This window comes from Homo sapiens, chromosome 7 (assembly GCF_000001405.40).
Source record: "Homo sapiens chromosome 7, GRCh38.p14 Primary Assembly".
Taxonomy (NCBI): domain Eukaryota; kingdom Metazoa; phylum Chordata; class Mammalia; order Primates; family Hominidae; genus Homo; species Homo sapiens.
In genome coordinates, this window is record NC_000007.14 from 76,180,150 (window position 1) to 76,202,353 (window position 22,204).

General features: G+C 51.5%; 1 protein-coding gene across 2 annotated transcripts in view, besides 4 other annotated features; it reads left to right on the top strand.

The window, feature by feature from the left end:
• Nucleotides 5,376-6,041: an enhancer, noted in NCBI's record as "H3K27ac-H3K4me1 hESC enhancer chr7:75814843-75815508 (GRCh37/hg19 assembly coordinates)". NCBI's record gives its function as "activates a minimal SCP1, AML or CMV promoter by ChIP-STARR-seq in primed H9 embryonic stem cells {active_cell/tissue: H9 hESC(primed)}" and the evidence as "EXISTENCE:reporter gene assay evidence [ECO:0000049][PMID:30033119]".
• Nucleotides 11,722-12,016: an enhancer, noted in NCBI's record as "tiled region #5015; HepG2 Activating DNase unmatched - State 10:DNaseD, and K562 Activating DNase matched - State 8:EnhW". NCBI's record gives its function as "activates a minimal TATA promoter and a strong SV40 promoter by Sharpr-MPRA in HepG2 and K562 cells {active_cell/tissue: HepG2 | K562}" and the evidence as "EXISTENCE:reporter gene assay evidence [ECO:0000049][PMID:27701403]".
• Nucleotides 17,048-17,845: an enhancer, noted in NCBI's record as "H3K4me1 hESC enhancer chr7:75826515-75827312 (GRCh37/hg19 assembly coordinates)". NCBI's record gives its function as "activates a minimal SCP1, AML or CMV promoter by ChIP-STARR-seq in primed H9 embryonic stem cells {active_cell/tissue: H9 hESC(primed)}" and the evidence as "EXISTENCE:reporter gene assay evidence [ECO:0000049][PMID:30033119]".
• Nucleotides 21,594-21,833: a silencer, noted in NCBI's record as "silent region_18306". NCBI's record gives its function as "represses an Ori minimal core promoter by ATAC-STARR-seq in GM12878 lymphoblastoid cells {active_cell/tissue: GM12878}" and the evidence as "EXISTENCE:reporter gene assay evidence [ECO:0000049][PMID:35858748]".
• Nucleotides 21,747-22,204, top strand: part of SRRM3 (serine/arginine repetitive matrix 3) — an 85,392-nt gene continuing 84,934 nt past the window's right edge. For both annotated transcript variants that reach the window (NM_001291831.2, NM_001110199.3), the window contains exon 1: nt 21,747-21,918. The gene's annotated coding sequence lies outside the window, so the exon portion shown is untranslated. The remainder of the gene's footprint in view (nt 21,919-22,204) is intronic.

The window sequence follows — 22,204 nt, forward strand, 5'->3', positions numbered from 1 at the left end:
TGAACTGACTCATCAACAGTGGTGGCCCCAGTCTGCAGATCCTCTCCTGCGACCCCCCTGGGAGCCCCCCAACCCCACCCCACCCATGGAAAACAGTAATCTTAACAAATGACATTTGCAAAGGCCTTGTTTCCAAATGAGGCCATATTCTGAGAAACTGGGACTTAGGACTTCAATACATGAATTTTTAGGAATAAAATTCAACCCATCCCACTAAATATATGGAGTAAAAAGTTGAGAGCACCCTACACACAATACACATTCCAAAGGCAATTTCCATCTTCATTCTAGATGTTTGTCCTTCGAGATCTTTTTCTATTCATTGATTTGTTTATTTATTTGAGACAGGATCTTGCTCTGTCGCCCAGGCTGGAGTGCAGTGGCGCGATCTCGGCTCACTGCAACCACTGCCTCCCGGGTTCAAGCGATTCTCCTGCCTCGGCCTCCGGAGTGGCTGGGATTACAGGGATGCGCCACCATGCCATACTATTTTTTGTATTTTTAGTAGAGATGGGGTTTCACATTGTTGGCCAGGCTGGCCTCGAACTCCTGACCTCAGGTGATCCACCCATCTCAGCCTACCAAAGTGCTGGGATTACAGACATGAGCCACCTCACGTGGCCTAGTGAGTAATTATTTTAATAGCACAGTAGGCCAGGCGCCATGGCTCACACCTGTAATCCCAGCACTTTGGAAGGCCGAGGTGGGCGGATCTCGAGGTCAGGAGATCGAGACCATCCTGGCTAACACAGTGAAACCCCGTCTTTACTAAAAATACAAAAAAAAAATTAGCCGGGCGTGGTGGCGTGCACCTGTAGTCCCAGCTACTCAGGAGGTTGAGGCAGGAGAATTGCTTGAACCCGGGAGATGCAGGTTGCAGTGAACCGAGATTGCACCATTGCACTCTAGCCTGGGCGACAGAGTGAGACTCCGTCTCAAAAACAAAAACAAACAAACAAAAAAACCAGCGTCCTCCCTGCAGATGAGCAGGAGATCGAAGGGCCCAAGAATAAGGTGCTGACCCCCAGCACACACCCACAGAGCTGCCCCCTCCCCAACCAAGCTTTGGCCCAAAGGGAGGGTCCCAATGCAGGGCTTTGGAGTGGTTTCCCAGTGGGTTCACTATTCCCTATTCTCTCCGCAAGGCCAAAGCTAATAAACGAAGTGCTGATCTGCCTCCAAAGCCTCTCCCCAGCCTATTAGATGACAACAGATGTGTATCGTAGGATTCCATATATGGGGGTAAAATGTATTTGCAGTTGAATATAAAAGCATAGAGGCTGGGCACGGTGGCTCGTGCCTGTAATCCCAGTACTTTGGGAGGCCAAGGCAGGAAGATTGCTTGAGCCCAGGAGTTCGAAACCAGCCTGGTCAACATAGTGAGACCTCGTCTCTATCAAAACTAAAAAAATTTTGCCAGGTGTGGTGGTGTGTGCCTGTAGTCCCAGCTACTTGGGAGGCTAAGATGGGAGGATCACTTGAGCTGAGGACCTGGGGTTGCAGGGAGCTATGATCGAGCCACTGCACTCCAGCCTGGGCGACAGAGCAAGATCCTGTCTCAAATAAATAAATGAATCAACAAATAGAAAAAGGTCTTGAAGGACAAACTTCTAGAGTGGAGATGGAAATTGCCTTTGGAATGTGTATTGTGTACTGTCAACTTTTTACTCCATGTATTTAGTGGGATGTGTTGAATTTTGTCCCTAAAAAGTCATACATTGAAGTCCTAACCCCCAATTCCTTAGAATATGGCCTTATTTGGAAACAGGGTCTTTGCAGATGTCATTTGTTAAGATGAGGTCGTGCTGGCGTGGCGTGGGCCCCTAATCTAATGTGACTGGTGTCCTTATAAGAAAAGAAGAGGGGCCAGGCACGGTGGCTCACACCTGTAATCCCCGCACTTTGGGAGGCCAAGGAGGGTGAATCACTTGAGGTCAGCCTGGCCAACATGGCAAAACCCCATCTCTACTAAAAATACAAAAATTAGTGGGGCATGGTGGTGCATGCCTGTAATCCCAGCTACTTGGGAGGCTGAGGCAGGAGAATTGCTTGAACCCAGGAGGTGGAGGTTGCAGTAAGCCAAGATCGTTCCAATGCACTCCAGCCTGGGTGACAGTGACAGAGCAAGACTCTGTCTCAAAATTAAAAAAAAAAAAAAAAAGGAAACAGAGGGCTGGCATGGTGTGGTGTGGTGTGGTGTCTCACACCTGTAATTCCAGCCCTTTGGGAGGCTGAGGTGGGAGGATCACTTGAGGCCAGGAGTTTGAGGCCAGCCTGGGCAACATAGCAAGACCCCATCTCTAAAAAATAGCCAAGTGCAGTGATGCACACCTGTAGTCCCAGCTATTCAAGAGGCTGACGTGGGAGGATTGCTTGAGCCCAGGAGGTCAAGGCTGCAGTGAGCTATGATTGTATCACTGCACTCTAGCCTGGGCAACAGAGTACGATGCTTTGAAAAAAAAAATTTAAAAAAAAAGAGAGAGAGAGAGAAGAGACAGAGACAGCCACAGTGACACAACACCCAGGGAGAAGATGGCCATGTGATAATACAGGCAGAGATGCAGTGATGCTTTTGCAAGCCAAGCCACACCAAAGACTGCCAGCAAACACCAGAAGCTCTGGGAAAGGCCTGGAAAAGATCCTCCCTCACAGCCCTCAATAGGAAGCAACCCTGCTGGCACCTGGATTTCAGACTTCCAGGCTCCGGAGCTGTGCGACAGTAAATTTCTGTTGTTTAAGCTGCTCCGTTCATGGTACATTGTTCTGCCAGCCCCAGCACACGAATACACTTTGTACAGTGAAATATTGCACAGTGAGAAGTCCCTCCTAATAAGGATCAGAATATACAAGAAGTATTCCTTGTGAAATTAGAATTCAAATATGCGGCTAGTCGCGTTGGCTCACGCCTGTAATCCCAACACTTTGGGAGGCCAAGACGGGCGGATCACCTGAGATCAGGATATCGAGACCAGCCCGGCCAACATGGCGAAACCCCAGCTCTACTAAAAATACAAAAATTATCCAGGTGTGGTGGTGGGCACCTGTAGTCCCAGCTACTCGGGAGGCTGAGACAGGAGAATTACTTGAACCCGGTAGGCGGAGGTTGCAGTGAGCCAAGATCGTGCCGCTGCTCTCCAGCCTGAGTGACAGAGCAAGACTCCATCTCAAAAAAAAAAAGCCGGGCATGGTGGCACATGCCTGTAATCCCAGCTATTTGGGTGGCTGAGACAGGGGAATTGCTTAAACCCAGGAAGTGGAGGTTGCAGTGAGCCAAGATCATGCCACTGCACTCCAGCCTGGGCGACAGAGCAAGACTCTGTCTCAAATAATAATAACAATAAATAAATAAATATTTTTTAAAAATTTAAAAATAAAAAGCATGTCATCAAGTCAACCCCTTACTCTAACATGGCTCCCGGACTTGTGTGTGGGTCTTGGCATTTAATGCAGCAACCCCTTATGATTACCCTGGTTTTTGTTTGTCTGTTTGTTTGTTTTCTAGAGACAGGGACTCAATCTGTTGACCAGGCTGGAGTGCAGTGGTACAATCATAGCTCACTGCAGCCTCGAACTCTTGGCCTCAAGTGGTCCTCTCACCTCAGCCTCCCAAGTAGCTGGGACTACGGCCACACACCACCACACCTGGCTAATTTTTTAAAAAATGTCTTGTAGAGACAGGGTCTCACTATGTTACTCAGGCTGGTCTTGAACTCCTAGGCTCAAGCGATCCTCCTGCTTCGGCATCCCAAAGTGCTGGGATCACAGGTATGAGCCACCATGCATGGCCATTTAAGGATTTTGAGATGGGAAGGTTCTCCTACAAATCCCAGTGGGCCCAATGTAATCATAAAGGTTCTCCTAAAAGTGGGCAGGAGGGTCAGAATCAGAGAAGGAGATGTGACCCCAGATGCAGGCCAGAGAGAGAGAGAGAGAGAGAGAGAGAGAGACAGAGAGAGAGAGATTTGAGGATGCTGCAGTGCTAGCTCTGAAGATGGAGGAGGGAACCATGAGCTGAGGGATGCAGCCAGCCTCTAGGAGGTGGAAAAGGGAAGGAAAAGAGCTCTCTGCGACAGCCTCCAGAAGGAACACAGCCCACGGACACCTTGGTATTTATTTTATTTTATTTTATTTTATTTTTTATTTATTTTGAGACAGACTCTCACTCTGTCACCCAGGCTGGAGTGCAGTGGTCTGATCTCAACTTACTGCAACCTCCGCCTCCCGGGTTCAAGCAATTCTTCTGCCTCAGCCTCCTGAGTAGCTGGGATTACAGGCGTGCGCCACCACGCCCAGCTAATTTTTTATTTTTAGTAGAAACAGGGTTTCACCATGTTGGTCAGGCTGGTTTCGAACCCCTGACCTCGTGATCCGCCCACCTTGGCCTCCCAAAGTGCTGGGATTACAGGCATGAGCCACTGCGCCTGGGCTGCCCACTATTTTTATTTTATTTATTTTTATTTTTTATTTCTTTTTTTTGAGACGGAGTCTCGCTCTGTCACCCAGGCTGGAGTGCAGTGGTGCGATCTCGGCTCACTGCAACCTCCACCTCCCGGGTTCATGCCATTCTTCTGCCTCAGCCTCCTGAGTAACTGGGACTACAGGCGCCCGCCACTACGCCCAGCTAATTTTTTTGTATTTTTAGTAGAGACGGGGTTTCATCGTGTTAGCCAGGATGGTCTCGATCTCCTGACCTCATGATCCGCCCATCTTGGCCTCCCCAAGTGCTGGGATTACAGGCGTAAGCCACCGTGCCCAGCCCTGCCCACTATTTTTATATTTTATTTTATTTTATTTTATTTTATTTTATTTTATTTTATTTTATTTTATTTTTGAAATAAGGTCTTGCTCTGCCTCCCAGGCTAGAGTGCAGGGGTGCAATCATAGCTCACTGCAGCCTGGACCTCCTAGGCTCAAGCAATCCTCCCACCTCAGCCTCCCAAGCAGCTGGGATTGCAGGCATGTGCCACCATACCCAGCTAAACATTTTATTTTTTTGTCGAGATAGGGCTTTGCTATGTTCCCCAGGCTGGTTTTAAACTCCTAGGCTCAAGCAGTCCTCCTGCCTTGGCCTCCCAAAGTGTTGGGATTTCAAGTGTGAGCCACGATGCCCAACCTTCTGCCCACTTTAGAGCCATTTCACTCCCCCTAGCTGGCCTCTTTGTCCCAAAAACCCCTGCGTGTGCTTTGTGTCTCTCCCAGGCCCAGCAGGGACAGCTCTGGCAGGAAGCCACGGTAATCCCCTTTCCGATTCTCGGACCCCTCCCCACCTTCCTGGAAGCCCCAGGCCGGCCTGGTACCTCTAAGGAGAAGCCACACGCATGCCACCCTGTCCCTCTGACTGGAGCCTCCCATCATTGTGTGGAGCCCCCTCCTCCCTAAGCCACCAGATCCACCTCAAGCCCCACCTTGCTGCCTAAAAATAACACCTTCGCGTCCTGCTGGCTCCCCAATCCCTCCCTGCCCCGGGATCCTTCTGGTTTGTATTCTCCCAGCTGGCTGTGAGCTGTGAGCCGGCGCCAGTGTGCCAGGCCGACCGCAGGCCCGGAATTAGGTTAACTCCGCTGCAGCCCTGGAGGGAGGTCGCCTGTTTGGGGCCGTGGTTGCGGGTACTGAAAATGCTCCCTTCATGGGCTGGGGCCTGATTCTGTGTTGGGGGAAGGCAGTGACATGTGCCTGGGTGTGTATGTGTCGGGGGCTGGGTACGGTAAGCTTTGACAGTGGTGACTGATGGCAGATATACCCCAGGCTGGGCTGAGCTCGGCTAAAATGTCTGGCTCAGAAAAGAGGGGTGCAGTGGGACCCTCCCAGCTCCTGCTGCAAACCCTAGAGCAAACCCTGGAAATGTCTGCACGCAGAGCATCTTGTCGCCTGGAATCTTCCATCTGCCATCTCACAGAGTCCCAGGAGGCCTCTGAGGGAGGCTGTTCACCCCACATTACACATGGAGAGGCAGAGAGGCGCTGCCCTGAAACCGCCTTTGCAAAAATTACCACAGTGAGAAAATTATGACAGTGAAGGAGATCTGATCTAACCAACCCCCATCTTGCCTTTTTTATTTTTATTTTTTTATTTTTATTTTTTTTTAAGACAGGGTCTCATTCTGTTGCCTGGGCTGCAGTGCAGTGGCACAATTATGGCTCACTGCAGCCTTGACCTCCTGGGCTCAAGTGATCCTCCCACCTCAGCCTCCCAAGTAGCTGGGAACACAGGTATGTGCCACCATGCCCAGCTGAGTTTTGTAGAGGTGGGGTCTCGCTATGTTGCCCAGGCTGGTCAAAAACTCCTGGGCTCAAGCAATTCTCCCACCTCAGCCTCCGAAACTACTGGAATTACAGGCATAAGCCACTGCGCCTGGCCAGGTTTTTGCATTTCTGACGACTGATTGCTTCATCCAGACCCACCAACTGGCCATGTATCCCCACCCAGATGTGCACTTCCTGGCCCCCCAAACTATCCTCAAAAAACCCTGGCCTCCAAATTTTTGGGGAGATTGATTTGAGTAGTAATTCCATCTCTTATGTGGGGTGGCCAGCCTCATGTCAATTACACTCTTTCTTTTTTTTTTTAAGATGGAGTTTCACTGTTGTTGCCTGGGCTGGAATACAATGGCACGATTTTGGCTCACTGCAACCTCCACCTCCCGGGTTCAAGCCATTCTCCTGCCTCAGCCTCCTGAGTAGCTGGAATTACAGGCACCCACCACCATGCCTGGCTAATTTTTGTTTTGTTTTGTTTTGGTAGAAATGGGGTTTCGCCATGTTGGCCAGGCTGGTCTTGAACTCCTAACCTCAGGCGATCCGCCCGCCTAGGCCTCCCGAAGTGCTGGGATTACAGCTGTGGGCCACCGCGTCTGGCCTACGCTCTTTCTTTATTGTAATGCTGTGGTCCCAGGGAATTGGTTTTGTCTGTGGAGTGGGCAGGAAGAACGCATTGGGTGACTACAGCCCCCAGCCAGGCACGGTCCCGGAGTGAGCCTAAGACAGCTATTGCTGTCTTTATGGGATGGGCACGCTGTGCCCTGCTGGGCATGGATGTGGGGTGGGGGAAATTAGCAAGCTCAGACTCAGAGTAGAAGACCTAGCCTGCAGTCACACAGCACGTTGACGGGTGGGTGGCACCTGAATCCTCTGAGCCCCAGCAGACCCTACCCCAAAGTGCTTCTCCTGGGTAAGGGAGTGGGGTCATTGACCTGGCTGTGGTCATTAGCCTGGCTGTGGGCGGGAGTGAGACTGTCTCAGGAGCTCTGGGCAGGGCCTGGTGCTGGGAGCCAAGCCAGGCATCTCCAAGGGGTGCCAATATGACTTAGACACGTTCATTTTGTGGATAATGAATAATTCACATATGCGAATATGGGTATCAGAAATGCTAGAAACCAGTGCATTGAGCCTACCACATCCTGGGCGGCACTGCCTAGAACACAGCTTAGTACAAATATGAGTAGACTTAAAGAAAGGGATAAAGGAAATAGCCCTGCAGGAGGAGTGGAGCGAGAATGTGGACATAAAATATGAATTACAGGCCAGGCACGGTGGCTCACGCCTGTCATCCCAGCACTTTGAGGGAGAGGTGGGTGGATCATTTGAGATCAGGAGTTTGAGACCAGACTGGCCAATGTGGTAAAACCCCATCTCTACTAAAAATACAAAAATTGGCCAGGCGTGGTGATGGGCACCTGCAATTCCAGCTACTCGGGAGGCTAAGGCAGGAGGATCACTTGAACCCGGGAGGCAGAGGTTACAGTGAGCTGAGATCACACCACTGCACTCCAGCCTGGGTGACAGAGGAAGACTCTGTCTCAAAACAAAAAACAAAAACAAAAAAAAAAAAACAAAACGTGAATTACAGCCAGGTGAGGTGCCTCACGCCTGTCATCCCAGCACTCTGGGAGGCCGAGGCAGAAGGATTGCTTGAGCTCAGGAGTCCAAGACCAGCCTGGGCAACATAGTGAGACCCCCGTCTCTACTAAAAAATAAAATAAGACAAAATAAAATAAAATAAAAATTAGCACACTTGTGGTCCCAGCTACCAGGGAGGCTGATGCAGGAGGATCGCTTGAGCTTAGGAGGTTGAGGCTGCAGTGAGCTATGATCGCACCACTGCACTCCAGCCTAAGCGACAGAGCGAGACCCTGTCTCTAAAAAAAAAAAAAGTAAAAAAAGACTTCTGCTGCCTGGGCTTCTCTGGAGTCTGGGGCCCCTTGGACAACCAGGAAAGGCCTTGTGGAAGAGATGGGGCCTCGGGCTAGGACCTCATGAAGGAAACTTCAGTCCATCTCCTCCTGTCTCTGGGTAGCTGGGGCTCCAAGTCAGTGTGGGTGTGCTTTTCCTTCGGATAGCCACCTCTACAGGCTACATTTTCTACTCTCAGCCTCAGCTTGCTAACTTCCCCCACCCCACATCCAGGCCCAGGAGGCACCTGGCACAGGATGGCCATCCCATAAAGACAATAGCTGCCCTGGGCTCACTCTGGGACTGTGCCTGGCTGGGGGTTGTAGCTGCCCGATGGGTTCTTCCTGCCCACTGCACAGATAAAACCAATTCCCTGAGACCACGGCATTGTAATAAAGAAAGAGTGTAATTGACATGAAGCTAGCCATGCCACGTGGGAGACGGAATTATTACTCAAATCAATCTCCCTGAAAATTCGGAGGCCAGGGTGTTTTTTGAGGATAGTTTGGCGGGCCAGGGTCCAATGCATTGGCAGGTATATTAGGCATGGCTGCACAGGCAGGGTCCAATGCATTGGCAGGTATATTAGGCATGGCTGCACAGGCATGGGTGCCCATGTGTTTTTGTTTTCATTTTTGTTTTGAGACAGGGTCTCGCTCCGTCTCCCAGGCTGGAGTGCGGTGGTACAATCTCGGCTTACTGCAACCTCTGCCTCCTGGGTTCAAGCGATTCTCCTGCCTCAGCCTCCCGAGTAGCTGGGATTACAGGCATGTGCCACCACGCCCGGCTAATTTTTGTATTTTTAGTAGAGACGGGGTTTCCCCATGTTGGCCAGTCTAGTTATAAGGGAGTGTGTGTGTTGTGCATGTTGGGAGCTGCATGGGTGTGGGGTGTGCCTGAAGTTTGATTCTCACGGGGTGAAAGAGGTGTGTAAATACAGCCAGTGCATGGAGCATATCATGGGGTGTGAGGGGGGCGTGTAGAAAAGCGTGGGGGATGCATGGCTGTGCGTGTGTGGCATGTATATATGATATACAATACATGGTAGATGTGTGTGAGTCTGGCATGTGGGTGTGGATGTGTGCAATACATTCAGGTGACTGAATCTGTTCTCCTGGCAGACAGATGCAGATGAAACTGGGTCACATTGTCCAAGGTAGCCTCAGCTGCTATCTCTGCTGGCATCTTGCCCCCAGTCGGAACACGGGGACCCAGGTTCAGTGCTCCCAGCCTCCAAGGAGAGACAGCCCACTGCACAATCCTTGGGGGTGAGGGTCCCTGGGCCGGGCACCTGCCCAGTGGACCTGGACACAGGTCCCCAGTATGGGATGAAGGGACTATGATGAGTAGGTGATGGCCAAGGAAAGAGGCGGGGGGCCTGGCACAGTGGCTCACGCCTGTAATCTTAGCACTTTGGGAGGCCGAGGCAGGTGGATCACATAAGGTCAGGAGTTCGAGACCAGCCTGGCCAATATGGTGAAACCCTGTCTCCACTGAAAATACAAAAATTAGCCAGGCATGGTGGCAGGCACCTGTAATCCCAGCTACTCAGGAGGCTGAGGCAGGATAATCACTTGAACCCGGGAGGCGGAGGGAGGTTGCAGTGAGCTGAGATCGTGCCATTGCACTCCAGCCTGGGCAACAGAGTGAGACTCCGTCTCTCAAAAAAAAAAAAAAAAAGAAAAGAAAAAAGAAAGAAAGAAAAGAAAAAAAAGAGAGAGAGGAGCTGCACCTCAGGCCACCATTGTCCTCTGCCCTCTACCACTGCCCACATCATCACCCCATTCTCTCCTCATCCTAACCTTCCCTCTATTGGGCTGGGCAATTTTTGTTGTTGTTGTTGAGACAGAGTTTCACTCTGTCATCCAGGCTAGAGTGCACTGGCGCGATCTCGGCTCACTGCAGCCTCTGCCTCCTGGGTTCTAGTGATTCTCCTACCTCAGCCTCCCGGGTAGCTGGGACTACAGGCATGCGCCACCACACCTGGCTAATTTTTTGTATTTTTAGTAGAGATGGGGTTTCACCATGTTGGCCAGGCTAGTCTCAAACTCTTGACCTCAGGTGATCCACCTGCCTCGGCCTCCCAAAGTGCTAGGATTACGGGCGTGAGACACCACACCCAGCTACTGGGCATTTTAAAAAACTTTTATTGCAGAAAGTATAGAAATCTGGCTGGGCATGGTGGCCCATGTCTGTAATACCAGCAATTTGGGAGGCTGAAGCAGGAGGATCATTTGAGGTCAGGAGTTCAAGATCGGCCTGGGCAACATGGCAGGACCTCATTTCTACAAAAACAAAACAAAACAAAAAAACTTAAAAAATGAACCAGGCATGGTGGCGTGCACCTGTAGTCCCAGCTACCCAGGAGGCTGAGGCAGGAGGATCACTTGAGCCCAGGAGTTCGAGGCTGCAGTGAACTATTATGGTGCCACTGCACTCCAGCCTGGGTGACAGAGCAAGACTTTGTCTCTAAAATAAAAGAAAGTATAGAAATTGTACACACAGAGCCCAGTGCATTTTCACAAATTGAACATATCCATGCATCCAGCACCCAGCTCAAGAAACAGAACATTCTCAACCTTCCTTGTGCCCCCTCTGGTCAGCATCTCCTGCAAATAACTACTCTCTTGATTTTAGACACCACAGAGGAGTTTTGTCAGCCATCATGTTTAACCGCAACACCTGAATCCCTCCCCTAACTCAACAGAGACATTAGCTCCTTTCTGCATAATGAGAGGTGAAGAGAAAGCTGGGAGGGGATGCTGTCTGTCCTTACCGCTGACAGGAAAAGGATGAAGGTCCTGCCTGGTCCCGGTCACAGATGCCTGTCATGGATCTCCAAGTCCCTGCCTGGGAGATGATGATGATGATTATTATTATTATTATTATTATTTGAGATGAAGTCTGGCTCTGTTGCCAGGCTAGAGTGCAATGGCGTGATCTCGGCTCACTGCAAACTCCGCCTCCCGGGTTCAAGTGATTCTCCTGCCTCAGCCTCCTGAGTAGCTGGGATTACAGGTGCCTGCCACCATGCCTGGCTAATTTTTGTATTTTTAGTGGAGACAGGGTTTCACCATGTTGGCCAGGCTGGTCTCGAACTCCTGACCTTATGTGATCCACCTGCCTCGGCCTCCCAAAGTGCTAAGATTACAGGCATGAGCCACTGTGCCCAGCCAGATTTCTGGGCTAAGTTCCTTGGCTCAAGCCTACAGGGGACCTCTGCCTAAACATAGCTTGATGACAAATAATTTGCTTGTGCTAGTGTGTTCAGGCAATGCTGCTGTAACAGTTAAACTCCAGCATTTCAGGAGCTTCTCACTACTTACTATTTCTCATTCTCTGGTAGTCCTAAGGTTTTGTTTTTGTTTTTTGTTTTAATTTTTTACTTAATTTTAGAGAAATAGAGGCAGAGTCTTACTATGTTGCCGAGGCTGGTCTCGAACTCCTGGCCTCAAGCAAGCCTCCTGCCTCAGCCTCCCAAAGTGACAATCCTAAGTTGATGTTTGTGGTCAGCAGGCAGCTCTCCTCCATGTGGTGATTCAGGGACCCAGGCTCCTTCCATCTTGTGGCTCCCCACCCAACCCAGGGCCTTGGAATCCTGGGCATTCTGCCAGCAGCCAATGCAATGGGGAAGGAGAGAGCAGAGAGGGCACATCTACTTTCTAGGGACTATTCCAGGAAGTGGTCACATCTGCTTGCATTCCATGGGTGAGAATTAGTCACATGGTTCATCTCCATACCAACAAGGAATGCTGGGAGATGTAGTCCCCAGATTGGCATTCTTGTCTCGCTGACAACTCTCCTTTCCGGAAGGGAAGCATGAACACTTGGTGGTCACAGTGGGGGTCGTGGGGAGAGAGAACACAGTGAGCATGAAGTCTCTGCCCCTGCCTCAGCCTTGCCTGGAAGGCAGAGTTCACTGACTCAATACCTCATTCACTTATTCATTGGAATGCATCCTCATTCATTCATTCATTCATTTGCAAAATCATTCATGAACTTATTCATTCATTCGTTTTTTTCCCCCAGGTCTCATGCACACACTCATCTGTGCACATGCATTCATACACACAGCTGTACCTCCTGTAAGACCTATTCAAGGCCTAGGGGCCTGGGCAGGGTAGCTGGGCCAGCCAGGGTCACACACCCACCGTGTGGACAGTTCAGGGGGTTTCAGACTCTAGAGTCCCAAGAGGTCCAAGGGAAGAGGGGAACATGCTGAGGAGTCGGGAAATTGACAACCTGGTTCTGAGAGGGCTGTCCCTCCAGCACAGCCTGCCGTCAAGGGCCTGGGTAGGTTCCGGGATCAGGAAGGGGGAAGAGCTGTGTGCCCTGCTCAGGGCAGGGGCCTGGGCCGCAGACCCAAGGAAGAGAGATGAGATGGAGCACAACCCCAAGGCCACTGGCCCAGGGGCAGGCCTGGCTTTGGGTCAGACAAATCCTGGCTCAAATCATTGCCCAGGATGCTTATGGACTGAATGGCTGTGGCCAAGCTCTGAACCGCCCTGATCCTCAGTGTTCTCATCTGTAAGATGGGACGCTGGTCCTTTGCTCACGGTCTCATTGTGGGATTAGAGGTAATCAGCAGGAAGTACAATCACTGGAATACAGCAGTTTCCATTTTTAAATTTTATTTTTATTATTTATTTATTTATTTTTGAGACAGGGTCTCATTTTTAGCCCAGGCTGGAGTGCAGTGGCCTGATTCAGCTCACTGCAAATTCCGCCTCCCAGGTTCAAGTGATTCTCTTGCCTCAGCCTCCTGAGTAGCTGGGATTACAGGCACCACCACGCCCAGCTAATTTTTGTAATTTCGGTAGAGACGGGGTTTCGCCATGTTGGCCAGGCTGGTCTCGAACTCCTGGCCTCAAATGATCAGCCCGCCTCGACCTCCCAAAGTGCTGGGATTACAGGCATAAGCCACCGCACCCAGCCTTATTTATTTATTTTTAGAGACAGGGTCTTACTCTGTCACCCTGGCTGGAGTGCAGTTATGCAATCATAGCTCACAGCAACCTCGAACTGCTGGCCTCAAGGGATCCTCCTGCCCCAGCCTTCCAAGTAGCTTGAAGGTGTGTGCACTGCACTCAGCTAATTTTTATTTTTTTTAGTAGAGACAGGGTCTCACTATGTCGCCTAGGCTGGTCTCGAACTCCTTGGCTCAAGTGATCCTTCCACCTTAGCCTCCCAAAGTGCTGGAATTACATGTGTGAGCCACCGTGCTCAGCCAGATTACTGCACTTTTCAAAGATGTGCGTCACTGTCACTCCTGGGCTCAGGCTGAGAGCAGACCTGGATCTGCAGGAGACTTGATTTGAAGCTCCTCCAAGTGGGTGAGGCATAGGCTACTGCTGACAGCCATCCCTTCCCAGACTAGGATGACCTCAGGCTGGGATGGTGGCTGGACCATTAGGACTGTGTAACACCTTGGTGGTGAGAGGGGGTCCTAGGGCCGGGGGGCACATGTGAAGCTCTAGGCAGAAGCAGCAGAGGCCACAGCCTCAAAGTGTAGCCCCCTCCCCTTCTACATCACATCCCCAGATCTCAACAAAAGCTTTCTTCCTTCACATCCCCACGTCCCAAGAATGCGCAGCTTTTAAAAGACCCTAATGAGGGCAATGCTTACCCCAGAGCAATGGCCCCTGATGGTGGATTTACGAGCAATGGCGAGGAGAGTAGAAGGCTGGGAGGGAGGAGGGGCGAGCAGGGGAGGCTGCTGCCTCTGCTCATTTTTTATTAAAGATCTGCTTCAAGGTCAGCCCTGCCACAAGGGACTCCTCAATTTCCCAGGCTCTGCAGACAGAGAGGGAGATGTGCTGGGGGAGGGGAGGGAGATGGAGAGAAAGAGATCTGGATGGGCTAGGCAGAGGGGCACAAAGAGAAGAGAAGGAGGCTGCATGGTCCACAGGGGTCCCCCAGTATGATCCAGCAAAGTGCTGGACATGGGGGGTGCATCAGGGAGGTGCCGGAGGGAGTGAGGAGAGAAAAAGGAGGCCGATAGCATGGGAATGTTGATGGATTGGGCCAGCAGAAAAGAGTGGGTATTTAAGGTATTGGGACAGCAGAGCGACCAGGTTTTGTTTTTTGTTTTGTTTTGTTTGAGACGGGACCTCGCTCTGTTGCCCAGGCTGGAGTGCAGTGATGTGATCTCAGCTCACTACAGCCTCAACCTCCTGGGCTCAAGTGATCCTCCCAGCTCAGCCTCCCAAGTAGCTGGGACCACAGGTGCCTGCCATCATGCTTGGCTAATTTTTTTTTCTTTTCTTTTTTTTTTTTTTTTTTGAGACAGTCTTGCTCTGTCACCCAGGCTGGAGTGCAGTGGCGCTATCTAGGCTCATTGCAACCTCCGCCTCCTGGGTTCAAGTGATTCTCCTGCCTCAGCCTCCTGAATAGTTGGGATTACAGGTGCCTGCCACCATGCCCGGCTAATTTTTGTATTTTTAGTAGAGATGGGGTTTCACCATGTTGGTCAGGCTGGTCTCGAACTCCTGACCTTGTGATCCGCCCGCCTTGGCCTCCCAAAGTGCTGGGATTACAGGTGTGAGCCACCGTGCCCGGCCTTAATTTTTGTATTTTTTGTAGAGATGGGGTTTTGCCATGTTTCCCAGGCTGGTCTTGAACTCCTGGTTTCAAGCATTCCTCCTGCCTTGGCCTCCCAAAGTGCTGGGATTATAGGCGTGAGACCCCATATCCAGCCAAGGTTTTGTCATTCTCCAGATAAAAGGCACCACATGCATCATCAAATCCCTCTAGGCTATAACCATGAAATTTCTTTCTTTCTTTTTTTTTTTTTTTTTGAGATCAAGTCCCCCTCTGTCTCCCAGGCTGGAGTGCAGTGGTGCGATCTCAGCTCACTGCAACCTCCACCTCCCAGATTCAAGTGATTCTCCTACCTCAGCCTCCCGAGTAGCTGGGATTACAGGCACATGCCACCAGACCCAGCTACATTTTGTATTTTTAGTAGAAATGGGGTTTCATCATGTTGGCCAGGCTGGTCTCGAACTCTTGACCTCAGGTGATCCACCAGCCACAGCTTCCCAAAGTGCTGGGATCACAGGCGTGAGCCACCATGCCCAACAGAGAAGATTTCTAACAATAGAACTCATAGCAACCCTCAGAGACAAGTGTTATTAGCCCCATTTTACAGATGAAGAAACTGAGGCTCCAGGAGACTTTCCCAAGTCCACATGGCTACAAAGCAGCAAATCTGGCTCAGGTCCTGGGTCTGATTCCAGATCCCACTCATCCCATGGAGTCAGCCACATCCTCCCCACCTTTTGTGCCTGGCTTGAGACTCTCCCTCCAGTAATACCTCCCAGCTAAACGGGGTTTCACCATGTTGGCCAGGCTACCACAATTTTAAATAAAGAAAGAGGGGAAACTAGTGCTGGACAGGGAGACACTGTTTTATTTATTTTATTTTTTATTTTCAGAGACAAAGTTTCAGTTTGTCGCCCAGGCTGGAGTGCAGTGGCAGGATCACAGCTCACTGCAGCCTCAACCTCCTGGATCAAGCGATCCTCCTGCCTCTGCCTCTGAGTAGCTTGGACTACAGCTGTACACCACCAAGCCCAGCTCATTTTTATTTTATTTTTTTTAAAGAAACGGATACTCACTATGTTGTCCAGGCTGGTGAGACACTGTTTTATATGCAGATGTCTTTAAAAGGTTCATTGACCAAGTGCCATCTGAGCAGAGATTGCCTGTTCAGAGGGAGAGTGACTGGGGAGGGGGAGGACACAGGGCAGGGGTCTGGTATCAAGGCCTGGCCCAGGCAGACATTCTGAGGCTGCAGAAATGGGGACAGGGCTGGGCGCGGTGGCTCACGCCTGTAATCCCAGCACTTTGGGAGGCCGAGGCGGGCAGATCACCTGAGGTCAGGAGTTCGAGATCAGCCTGGCCAACATAGTGAAACCCCATCTCTACTAAAAATGCAAAAATTAAAAATTAGCCGGGCGTGGTGGTGGGTACCTGTAGTCCCAGCTACTCAGGAGGCTGAGGCAGGAGAATCGCTTGAACACGGGAGGAAGAGGATGCAGTGAGCTAAGATCATGCCACAGCACTCCAGTCTGGGAGAAAGAGTGAAACTCCATCTCAAAAAAAAAGGAAGAAAGAAACTCCATCTCAAAAAAAAAAAAAAAAAAAAAAAGAAGTGGGGACAGTCCCAGGAGATGGAAGGTCTAAAGGGCGAAGGGAGGAACTGGAGAATCCCACAGACTCACAGGTCTCTGACTTAGAGACCGGACTTGGGGCAGGGAAGTTTCTTGGGTCAGGGATCTAGAATGAAACAGACATCCCTGTACAAAGGTCCCATTGACGAGAGCTTGATGAAGGGACCCTGCACACAGGTGCAGATGAGGATATGAGAATGAACCAACAAGACATAGAGAAGCGGCCGAGGACTTAAATTACTGGGAAGCCGTTACCACTCCTAGGCTGTAGGGAGGAGGCTGAAAGCCAGAACTTGGCCAGAAGAACAGGAGGTGGAGAAGAGGGGCAGGAGAGGAACTCAGTAGGGGAATAAATCCCTAACTTATCTCTTCTCCCCTTCTCCTGGATCTGGCTTCTCCTGGTGATGCCTCCCCTTAGATGAACCCAACCGGACACCAAGAGCGAGGGAGCCTGGGTAATCGGACCACAGAGGCCAGCCTCCCTCCAAGGCCTAGAGCAGGGCAGAGCCGGAGCCAGAGGATCACACAGAGAAAAGCCAGCACAGATGGCGGTGCTGTTTTTTGAAACAAGTCGCACAAGGGGAGGAGCGCGTTTTGGGGAAATTAGCAGGCTGGGTGGGGAAACCAAGACAGAGTGTATCCCTATGAGCCAGGAGAAGGGAGCGCGAAGGGAGAGGGGGGAATATTGGGATGGAGAGGTGGCCTGGGATTCCGAGACTGGTAGAATGCAGAGTTCCAGGCAGCTGGAGAAGTTTGCTTGCAGCCAGCCTTTTTTTTTTTTTTTTCTGAGATAGAGTTTCACGCTGTCAACCAGGCTGAAGTGCAGTGGCGCGATGTCAGCTCACTGCAACCTCCGCCTCCCTGGTTCAAGCAATCCTCCCACCTCAGCCTCCCAAGTAGCTGGGACTACAGGAGCCCGCCACCACATCCAGCTAATTTTTGTATGTTTAGTAGAGACAGGGTTTCACCATGTTGGCCAGGCTGGTCTCGAATTTCTGGCCTCAAGTAATCTGCCTGCTTCGACCTCCCAAAGTGCTGGGATTACAGGTGTGAGCCACCGCCTCTGGTTGCAGTCAGCTTTTATAGGCCCAAATCCCCTTCTCCCCTGAAGCTGCTCCCATCGCGAAACCAGGGAGGCAGGTACTGCAGAGACAGACCAGGGGAGGGCAAGAGAAGGTGTGCCCAGCTGGGGCAGTGTTCCCAGGTGCTAATTCCGGAGTTGAGGCCAGGGTCGGTCAGGAACCAAAGCAATGTGGTGAAGTTTCATAAAGCCAACTTTGGCTGGGCACGGTGGCTCACGCCTGTAACCCCAGCACTTTGGGAGGCCACAGTGGACGGATCACCTGAGGCCAGGAGTTTGAGACCAGCCCGGCCAACATGGTAAAACCCCATCTCTACTAAAAATACAAAAATTAGCTGGGCGTGGTGACATGCGCCTGTAGTCCCAGCTACTCGGGAGGCTAAGTTAGGAGAATTGCTTGAACCCGGGAGGTAGAGGTTGCAGTGAGCCGAGATCGTGCCACTGTACTCCAGCCTGGGCAACAGAACAATGCTCCATCTCAAAAAAAAAAAAAAAAAAAAAAAAAAAGGCCAGCTTCATTTAAGGCATGCATTTCACTCTGAGATGATGCCGCGTCTCCACACCTCCTGTAAGTTTCCTCCACTCCTCTCCACACACCCAGCCATGGTTCTTCAGTCAAGGAAAGGCCTGCAGCCGCCAGCCCCAACCCCCCCCACTCCCAGGGCCTTCTCCCAGACCTTGACCTGCCTGGGAAGTCCCAGCCAGGCACAGAGAGGGCAGCTCCTCTCAGGAAGAAGGAGCAACCAAGCTGACTGGTGCTAGGCCAGCCCAAAGTCTCAGCAAATGAAATATTCATGCAGCCAGAAGGCAGGAGATCAGCAGAGGACTTGCCCCCCGGGGCTGTGGAGCTGCAGTACTGGTGGCAGCAGCTGTAGCCCACCCCTCTCCCTCACCCTCGATCTTTGTTCTGCAAATAGTGCAAGGGCCTGCAGTTCAAGGATCTTAAACACACACACACACTCCAAAGATTCTGGTAGGTAAGGAAACCTGGGCAAAGGAAGAGGGGAGGGGAAGAGTGAAACCGCCTTTGCAAAAATTATAAGAGAGGGCCGGGCATGGTGGCTCATGCCTGTAATCCCAAGACTTTGGGAGGCGGAGCGAGGCGGATCACCTGAGGTCAGGAGTTCGAAACCAGCCTGGCCAACATGGTGAAACACCTGTCTCTACTAAAGAAAAAAAAAAAAAAAAAGAATGAGGGCCGTAGAGACAGGGTTTTGCCATGTTGGCCAGGCTGGTCTCAAACTTCTGAACTCAGGTGATCCGTCCACCTCGGCCTCCAAAGTGCTGGGATTACAGGCGTGAGCTACCGCGCCTGACCAGGCTTTTGCATTCCTGTCAGATTATTCCACTCAGACCAGCTACTCTTCTGTGGCCCTATCCAGAAGTGGACTCAATGCAAGAGGACCATTTTCCACATCCACAGGAATGCATCCCCAACCAAAGTTTGAGACCAGCCTGACCAACATGGAGAAACCCCGTCCCTACTAAGAATGCAAAATTAGCCGGGTGTGGTGGCACATGCCTGTAATCCCAGTTATCGGGAGGCTGAGGCAGGAGAATCGCTTGAACCTGGGAGGTGGAGGCTGCAGTGAGCTGAGATCGCACCATTGTACTCCAGCCTGCGCAAGAAGAATGAAACTCCATCTCAAAAAAAAAAAAAAAAAAGGAATGCATCCCCAACCAATCAGCAGCTCCCATTCCCTAGTCACCTCCCCCATCGACCCACCAAACTATCCTTGAAAAACTCTAGCCTCTGAATTTTTGGAGAGGCTGATTTGAGTAATAATAAAACTCTGGTCTCCCATTTAGTCGGCTCTACGTGCATTAAACTCCTTGCATATTGCAATTCCCCTGTCTTGATAAATTGGCTCTATCTGGGCAGCAGGCAAGGAGAATCCATGGGACAGTTACAGGAGGGCACGCACAGACACAGACCCCAGAAAGACATGAATCCAAAAACAGATGCACAGGCCAGGTGCGGTGGCTCACACCTGTAATCACAGCACTTTGAGAGGCTGAGGCGGGTGGATCACCTGAGGTCAGGAGTTCAAAACCAGCCTGGCCAACACGGTGAAACACCCGTCTCTACTTAAAAAAAAAAAAAAATACAAAAATTAGCCAGGAGTGGTGGCGGGCACTTGTAATCTCAGCTACCCTGGAGGTTGAGGCAGGAGAAATGCTTGAACCTAGAAAGCGGAGGTTGCAGTGAGCCGAGATCGCACCATTGCATTCCAGCCTGGGTGACAAGAGTGAAACTCCATCTCAAAAAAATAAAAACAGATGCACAGACACAGACCCACGGGGGCACATACACACATAAACCCATACAAAGACTCACAACAAACATACACTCAGACCAAGGGATGCCTCTTGGTGTCATGCAAATGCTTCCTAAAATCTACACCCCAGGCACCTGATGTGCCTCACCACTGTTCCCTCAAGTCAGGGCTGCTGTGGCACTTCCAGTCCTGCCTCCTGACACAGCCATGGAGACACCAATGGTGAGCTTGAAACAGGGGACTCCATGTTCCTGGTTTCTAATGTCTCTATTTAGGGAAGGTCTCTGGTCTCCCAACGTCTCTAACTCTGAATTTCCTTCACTTAGCCTGCTCACTGAAAGGGGGCCAGGAGCTGTGGGAGGAACAGACCAAGGTCACACAGAGAGTAACCCAATGGTGACTTGAACTGTGGAACCCAGACTCCCAACCCAGCAACATGAAAGGCTCAGCATTTCCATTCTCAAAATCCTCTCCCCCTGGCCAGGCACAGTGGTTCATGCTTGTAATCTCAGCACTCTGAGAAGCTGAGGAAGGGAAGGAGGATGGCTTCAGCCCAGGAGTTTGAGGTTGCAGTAAGATATGATCACACCACTGCAGTCCAGCCTGGGCAACAGAGCGAGACCCTGTCTCAAAAAAAAAAAAAAAAAAAAAAAAGGTCTGGTGTAGCAGCTCATGCCTGTAATCCCAATACTTTGAGAGGCCAAGGCAGGAGGATTGCTTGAGTCCAGGAGTTCAAGGACAGCCTAGGCAACATAATCAAACCCTATCTCTATCAAAAATTTAAAGTTTTTTGTTGTTGTTGTTTTTGTTTTTTTGTTTTGTTTTTGTTTTTGAGACAAATTGAGGCTCTGTCACCTAGGATGGAGTGCAATGGAGCAATCTTGGTTCACTGCAACCTTCGCTTCTCAGGCTCAAGCCTTCCTCCCACTTCAGCCTCCCAAGTAGCTGGGACCACAGGTGCATGCATGCCACCACATCTGGCAAATTTTTGTATTTTTCATAGAGACAGGGTTTCCTCATGTTGGCCTGGCTGGTCTCAAACTCCTGAGCTCAGTGATTTCCCACCTCAGCCTCCTAAAATGTTAGGATTACAGATGTGAGCCACTGCATCCAGCCAAAATTTTAAAATTTAAAAAAATAATTTAAAATCTCCTGTCTCCATTAGGATGTCTCTCACACTACACCCTCCTTTTTTTTTTTTTAAATTTTTGAGATGGTGTCAAAAAATGACAGCCTCTGTCATTCAGGCTGGAGTGCAGTGGCGCCACCATAGGTCACTGCAGCCTCAAATTCCTGGGCTCCAGCGATCCTCCCACCTCACCTCCCTGGTGCCTTTTATTTTATTTTATTTTATTTTATTTTTGACCCTAAGTCTTGCTCTTGTCGCCCAGTCTGGAGTGCAATGGTGCGATCTTGGCTCACTGCAACTCCGCCTCCCAGATTCAAGCGATTCTCCTGCCTCAGCCTCCCAAGTAGCTGAGTAGTTGGGATTACAGGTGCCTGCGACCACGCCTGGCTAATTTTTGTATTTTTAGTAGAGACTGGGTTTCACCATGTTGGCCAGGCTGGTCTCGAATTCCTGGCCTCAAGTGATCCTCCCGCCTCAGTCTCCCAAAGTGCTGGGATTATAGGCGTGAGCCACCGCGCCCAGCCCCTGGTGCCTTCTTTAACACTGGGTGGGAAGAGAGTGTCCTGGCGAGGCCTCTGCACACCGACTGCATTTCCCAGATCCAAACTAATAACCTCCCTTGCCCCAGGCGCCTTCCAGGGCTGACATGCCTCCTCTCGCAAGTGGGGGAAACAGATGTCCCCGGGGGCTGGGGATAGGGGCGGGGGTGTGGGGAGGTGAGGGGCGAGGGGAAGGGGGGGAGGGGGGCGAAGGGGGCGGGGAGGAGGGGGAGCCGGCCGGGAGACGGCCCGGCCCAGCCGCCCGGGCTGTTGCCTCCGCTGCGGGCGTTCCTCCAGGCCTGCGGAGGGCGCTGCGGGCGCGGGGCTGGGCCGCTCTGGCTGGCGGGCGAGCAGAGAGGCGCCTCGGTGGCGGTGCGCTGTCCAGCATTTCAGCAAGCGGCGGCAGCACCCGCGGGGAGGCAGAGGGTGCGGGGCCGTGGGGGCCGCGGAGCTGCCCTGCCCAACTCAGCCCAGACTAGGCGGCAGCCCGGACCGGCGGGACCCGAGGGCCTGGCCCCAGCGCCCGGTAGATCGCGGCGGTCAGCGGTGAGGTGAGAGCGCCTGTGGGGCGGGGGCATATCCCCGAGGGGCTGGGGCTGGGTGGAAGCTCGGGCCTCCCCAGCACCCCCGTGGTCTGCAGGCTCCCCCGAGCAGAGGGGCAGTGTGGGAGGTCGGCGAGGGCGTCTGTCCGGGGGTGCCAGGCGCCCGGGGAGCAGAGATGAGGAACATTCATTTCACTGAGAGGGATGGAGACAGTGGAGACCTTTGGGGTCATGGGCAGGACTCCCCTGGGCATAAATGACCATGGCCTAGTCCATGAGGGTGCCAGGGAGGCCC